The sequence below is a fragment of the Homo sapiens genome, chromosome 12, assembly GCF_000001405.40.
Source record: "Homo sapiens chromosome 12, GRCh38.p14 Primary Assembly".
Classification (NCBI taxonomy): Eukaryota; Metazoa; Chordata; class Mammalia; order Primates; family Hominidae; genus Homo; species Homo sapiens.
In genome coordinates, this window is record NC_000012.12 from 107,912,512 (window position 1) to 107,919,209 (window position 6,698).

Below are 6,698 nucleotides of genomic sequence, written 5' to 3' on the forward strand. Positions count from 1 at the left end.
CTGTGGAGCAAAGCTTTCACGGGTAACGGGCAAAGGGGAGCAGTAGTGTCAAGTCAGGTCTTGGCAGCACAGCGAGGTTGGCGAGTTCTCCTTGGCTGCCAACTCAGCCAAAGGCTCATCCTGCACTGTTGGGCCTGTTGCTGGGATGCACCTTTGGAATGTGTGAGCCAAGAATGGGCGCGCATGCTCATGGAACCCGCAAGGAAGGCGCACCGGGGAGGAAAGGGAGGGGGCAGAGATCACCCTAGGAATGTGCACAGGGGGCAGCTGCCGGTGGAGGGTGTTTGGTATGAGGGAGACAGGCTCATGGGGAAATGCAGCTGGCCCTCCCGCACTGGGGCCCCAGCGCTGACAGGGGACGGCGTAGGACGGGGATCCCTTGGGCTAGGAGGGCGAGAACTGCTGCGCCATCAGGTGGCAGCTTTGGGGTCAGCACCCTCGAGATGTCCTGCCCTTTCTCCAGCGGAATTGGGAAGAGCCCCTCAAGGGCTAAACAGATTCTGACGGGGTCTCTTGTGGTGGGGAGGACAGGTGGAGAGAGACATGCTTCCCTTATAACCCAGCAATCCTGTTCCATGTATTTGCCCAAGAGAAATGAAAACTTCTGGGTGGATGTTTATTCACCCATAACCTGTATGTAGATGGTTTTGGTTGCATTAGTCTTATCTCCTTGACATAGGACTTTTCATTTTATCCATTTTGTCTTGAATGTGTATGGAATTATTTTTAGGTGGTTGTTCTGGGGATTAGAATATTTATGCCACACTTTTCAGTCTAATAAGAGGTGTATCTTACCAACTCGAGTAATATGTGAAAGCCTAACAGTCATATACATTCATGTGGCTCTTTATGTTATGGTTGTCATATGTATTCCATCTACAAGCCTTGAAGCCCCACATCCCTTTCAAATGATGATATGTTTTCATGGTTTGGAAGCAGCTCATCCTGGAAGCGCAGAACCTGCCAGGCGTCTTGCACTTCCTCCTCCCAGTCCCCCTAGGGTTAAAGGCTGCACTCTAAGAAGGCACTAGCCTGTCCCCAGGAGTCTATCCAGATCCCTGGAGGGCTCCATTTCTGCAGGACGAGGCTACCCCTTGGAATAAATCCTCTCTGCTTCTGCCCAGCCCTGTAAGGGGCACCTTCCATTCTTTCTCCAGCAGGCTTTCCTCTGCTGACAGGGAAGGAGACAGTGTGGGGCAGAGAGGGATTTATCCTCTTCTCCTTGGGCTGAGGAGAGGGCTGGGAAGTCCTCCAGGCAGCATCTAACTTCCTCACTCTTTGGGCTGCTGTAAGTGGCCTTCCAGGTCCTTCCTGCTATTTTCATGTTCAAAAATTGAAATTTGAGTTTTCTGAGCTGGAATTTCCTCTGTTTAAGGCTGCTAGGAAAAATGGCTGCCAGGGGTCCTGTAAAGCAAAGCTTGCTTGGAGAATGGGCGAAGATGTATGTGTAAGTGATTTGCTCAAGATTATGCAACCTCCCTGGGCATAGCCCCCACTTCCTTGGGAATTTCCTAGCATGTCCTGGAACGGGCCTCCATCATTCCCCATTTCCTGCTGCATGAGGAGACATTGCCCCCTACATGAACTAGATAGTGTAATATCTGCCCCTGGTGTGTCCGGAATTGGTTCCTTCTGGTGGGTTCTTGGTCTGCTGACTTCTAGAATGAAGCCACGGACCCTCGTGGTGAGTGTTACAGTTCTTAAAGATGGTGTGTCCGGAGTTTGTTCCTTCAGATGTTCAGATGTATCCGGAGTTTCTTCCTTCCAGTGGGTTCGTGGCAGCATCCAATCACTATGGAGCCACTGCTTACTGACACCTAGCCCCAAATGACCAACCTAAAACTGACACCCCACAGTTCCCCCATGGTGCATGCTTTTTGTCCCTGCAAGGAGTAATAAACCCAACTTGCTCCACTGCACATGTGTTCCTGGAGGGTATTGACTGGCCTCTTGAGGGGCTGCCTGGGCTCTGCCTCTGTCATCATGTAAAGATGATGGTGATCGACAACACAGGGTTTTCTGTGTGCTGGGCGCTGTTTTGAGTTCCTCGCATATACTCATCTGCATTTTATCCTCACAACAGCTCTGAGGAGGGGGCACTATTCTTATCTCTGTTTTGCAGATGGAGGAGCTGAGACACTCAAAGGATTAACCCCCTGGCCCAGGTCACCGACTTGTAAGTTGCTGAAGTGGGATTTGAACCCATGTGGTCTGGCTCCATAGTCCACGCACTGAGCTAGGGCCTAACCAGGCTTCGAGCCTAGACAAAACACAGGTCCTGACCTGCCTTCATCCTGTGCAGGTCGTGGAGTTCATTGGAATGTGATGGGAAGGAGGAGAAGAAGGAGAAGGTGATGGAGAGTCTCCTGGAGGCAGCTGAATTTTTGGCATGGCCGAGAAGACCTGGGGTGGACCCTTGACCCGCATTGGGCCCACTCTTGCTTCTCTCCCGGGAACTAAGACTTAGGATTTATGAATGCTGGTCTGTCTGTGCAGGAATGGTGTGTGAGGGTATGTAAGCTAGGGAACTGAGTGGTGACATCTGCCCTGGACACTGGGAGGACATTTGGGAAAGATGGAGCAGCAAGTAGAGAGAGAAGCAGAGATGGGGGAGCAATTCAAGGGGAGAGTGAGAAGGGAGAGAACCAAGAGGGAGAGGGAGAGGAAGATAGAGAGGGAGGCAGAAGGACAGGGTCAGGGACAGGGCTAAGAAGGAATGGAGAGAGAGAGAGGATGGAGGAAAAGAGGGAGAAAAACAGACATATATATACACACACACACACATACACACACATATATACATATATGTATACATATATGTGTATATATACATATGTGTGTATATATATGTGTGTATACATATGTGTATATATACGTATATATACACATATATGTGTGTATATATATACACACACACAGAGCAGACACACACACACACACAATCCATTTCTCCGGTGCCTGCATGTTAGTCCCAGTGGTTCTCTGCTCCTGCCTGGGAGAATCTACTGTCCCTTGCACCAGGGGTGGCACAGACATGGGATGGTTGGGACCTCTGGCTGGACCCTTCAGCAACCAGACCCTGGCCCACACCTGATGCTGTGGTGGATGAAGGGAATCCCAGCAACTGTTGCTCTCAGGCCCCAAAAGAAGTTGTCCAGTGGAGTCAGGAGGTTTACAGTATGTCTGGGAATACATTTTCCTCCAATCCTGTCTTGCTCTTGCCAACAATTTCCCAGGCAAATAGTGAATTGTTTTATTTGTTTGCTTTATGTTTTGAAGAGAGGGAGGCAGCATGGTGATTTGTGAAGGGCTGAACTCAGACAGACCTAGGTTTAAGTTCTGGTCATCTCACTTGCTGTGTGACCTTGGACAAGTCACTTCACTTCTCTGAGCCTCTCTCCAACAACGGGGCTAATAATCCCTGCCTTATAAAGTTGTGGTGATGATTAAAAAGTGGCTGGGAATGGTAGCTCTTGGAAATAGTAGACAGTCAATAAATGTCAGTTTTCTGCTCTTCAGTCCTTTAAAGTTACTGTACAGCAGGTCCTGGAATAATACTAAAATGTTTCATTATAATGTTGGTGAGAAAAAGAAAAATCAATTCCCAGCCAAGGCCATCATCTGGGTGCAGTCTGTACATTCTCCCCATGTGTTCATGGGTTTTCTCTGGCTCTCTGGTTTCCTCTCATATTCCCAGGATGTGCACATCAAGTGAATTGGCATGTCTAAATGGGCCCAGTCTGGGCCAGGTGTGGTGGCTTACACCTGTAATCCCAGCCCTTTGGGAAACCAAGGAGGGAGGATCACTTGAGCCCAAGGGTTCAAGACCAGCCTGGGCAACATGGTGAAACCCTATCTCTCCAAAGAATACAAAAATTATCGGGGGGTAGTGGTGCACCCCTGTAGTCCCAGCTACTTGGGAGGCTGAGGTGGGTGGATCACCTGAGCCTGGGAGGTCAAGACTGCAGTGAGCTGTGATCACGCCACTGCTCACCAGCCTGGGTGACAGAGAGGGACTCTGTTTCAAAAAAAATAAATAAAATGGCCCCATCTGAGTGAGTGTGGGTGTGGGTGTGAGTGTGCTCTGTGAGGGGATGGCATCCTGTCCAGTGTGGTTTATTGCCTTGTGCCCTGAGCTGCCAGGATAGGCTGTGGCCACCTGCAACCCTGAATTGGAATTACTGGGTTAATGATTATCTTACTTGTTTTTATTAATCTTTCTTAAGTGTATGTATAGCTCACATTTATTTCAATGTTTAATACTAGAAATGTTTTGGTCTTCATTTAGAAGTTTAGTGATGTTTGGCCGGGCGCGGTGGCTCACGCCTGTAATCCCAGCACTTTGGGAGGCTGAGGGGGGCGGATCACGAGGTCGGGAGATCGAGACCATCGTGGCTAACACAGTGAAACACCGTCTCTACTAAAAATAGAAAAAATTAGCTGGGCGTGGTGGCAGGTGCTTGTAGTCCCAGCTACTCGGGAGGCTGAGGCAGGAAAACGGCGTGAACCCGGGAGACGGAGCTTGCAGTGAGCCAAGATTGCGCCACTGCACTCCAGCCTGGGCAACAGAGCGAGACTCCATCTCAAAAAAAAAAAAAAAAAAAGTTTGGTGATGTTTTTGTGGCCAGAAATATGCCTGTAGAAACTTAACTCTAGTTAATATCCATTAGCCTATGGTAACATCGGTGTTGTAGTACATTGTTTCACTTAAAGTTGCAGTTTCCAAGAATCTGTTAATGACATTAGGTGAGGACTTACCCTATTAGTAAAATTTACACTTGACAAGATTTTAAAAAATATTTTTCACTGACAAATAGAATTGTATTTACTTGTCTGTTATTTCAATAAATTCACAGGAATGAAACTAACATCTGGCACCTATATTTTAACTTTTTAATGTTCTTACTACTGACTGTAAATGATAAATATAACAAGGAAATTTTTATCAACATATAAATGCTTTTCTCAAACATAGTGGGCTCTTTCTCTGGTTGATTGTGCTGATGAAGATGGCAGTAATGGCTTCCATTTCTTGAGCACTCACTGTGTGCCTGTCGTGTTGGTGATGATGAAGATGGTAGTACTGGCTTCCATTTCTTGAGCACTGCTGTGTGCCTATCCTGATGGTGATGATGAAGATGCAGTAACAGCTTCCATTTCTTGAGCACTCACTACCGTGTGCCTGTCCTGATGGTGATGATGAAGATGTAGTAGTGGCTCCCATTTCTTGAGCACTACTGTGTACCTGCTTTGCACTTTACTTGAGTTATCCCATTTGCCCTTCATAACTCTGTGAGGGGCTCCTATTGGGATCTCCTCTGCAGAAGATGACGGGGAGAAAAGGAGGATGGACAAAGGTGAAGGGACAGCATGGTGCTCCTCCTTGCTGATCCACGTGGTTGGAATGGAGGCTGAGAGAAAAAATGGGCAGAGCCAGAAATCCCAGGACCTGGTGTTAGTGGGATGTGGGGCTCAGCTGCCCACCTGTGGCCCAGAGCAGTGGAGGATGCCTTGGCTGTGCCCTGGCACACAGCCCTCTACCTCCCTGGCATCTGAGCACTGGGGACTGTGGCAGTGGGGTCAGTGCCCTCAGCTGGACACAGAGCAGAACTTGAGAAATATGGGCCCCTGAGCCCACAGGACCCAGAGACCCAGCACCCAGGGAGGCTTGGGTGTAGAAGAGGGACGCCCTCAGCTAGCACATGGGGGCTTGAGGTCCTGTTGACTTCTAAGGGACCTCATCTGATCTCCCCGCTGGGGACATCCAGCATGCAGGCTTCCTTCCTGGCTCCTCTGTCAACCTTTGTCCCAGCCTTCAAACTTTCTCTTCCCAATGCCATTCTGACACTTCGTCAGTTCCCCTTCTAGTCCACTAGATGCTGCTCTGCACCCACCTGAGCACCACCATTTCTAATTCCTTCGATCCTAGTTTGGTAGAGACAGGTGAGCTGGTCAGCCCTTTCCCAGGAGGCAGACTGGAGACCAGAGTGCTTACCAGGGCTCTTTGCCATACGGTAATGATTTAAACTTCAATCACTGTAACTTGTGGAGCTCTTTTCACGGATTAGCTCCGGTAACCCCCACAGGCCCCCATGATGTATGTTCCCATCCTACATATGAGGAAATAGTATCTCAGGGAGATGATGTGACTTGCTCAGGGTTACACAGCAAATACCTGGACAGGGTGTGACTTGACAAAGCTTTTTGTCCAAGTTAAAATGCCAGAGACATAATATTGCAATAATGCCAGTAGAAGTTGCTATTTATTAAGCTCCTACTACTGGGCGAAGCTTGCAGAATACAGAGATGAATATGACAGACCTATTCCATGGGCAGTTTGTCATGTGTCCACTCCCCTGGGAACCTCAAGGGCAGCGCCCATGTGTCCCCAGCACTGAGCACAGAGCATGCCATAGAGGAGGGTCTCAGCTAATGTTGGCTGAATCAGTGAATGAACTGCTGTAGGCTATACAATAAGCACTTTGGTCTTGGGACCCTTTTTCATCTATAAAAGGGAAGGTGGAGGACAGATTCTCCCACTTGTCTTATCAAGGGTCCCATTTTTGGGTGTGTTGGCTTAATCACACAGGCCCATCCCTAAGGTCCCTTCTGGTTCTGCAGTGCTGCCACCTATCATTGGTGGTTTATCTTTTCCAGGAGTATTGTTTCTTTAGTTACCATTGATGTATGCCCCAGAG

General features: G+C 48.6%; 1 long non-coding RNA gene across 4 annotated transcripts; it reads left to right on the plus strand.

The window, feature by feature from the left end:
- The first annotated feature begins 233 nt into the window (after positions 1–233).
- Positions 234–3,777, plus strand: LOC105369964 (uncharacterized). Of its 4 annotated transcripts, none has more exons than XR_945321.2 (4): positions 234–287; positions 1,376–1,447; positions 2,123–2,176; positions 2,303–2,635. It is a non-coding gene; the product is annotated as an uncharacterized LOC105369964 (long non-coding RNA). The 4 variants fall into 4 exon arrangements; XR_945320.2 differs by adding an exon at positions 3,280–3,777 and having other exon boundaries at positions 240–1,447; positions 2,303–2,511; XR_945319.2 differs by having other exon boundaries at positions 240–633.
- Positions 3,778–6,698: the final 2,921 nt, after the last annotated feature.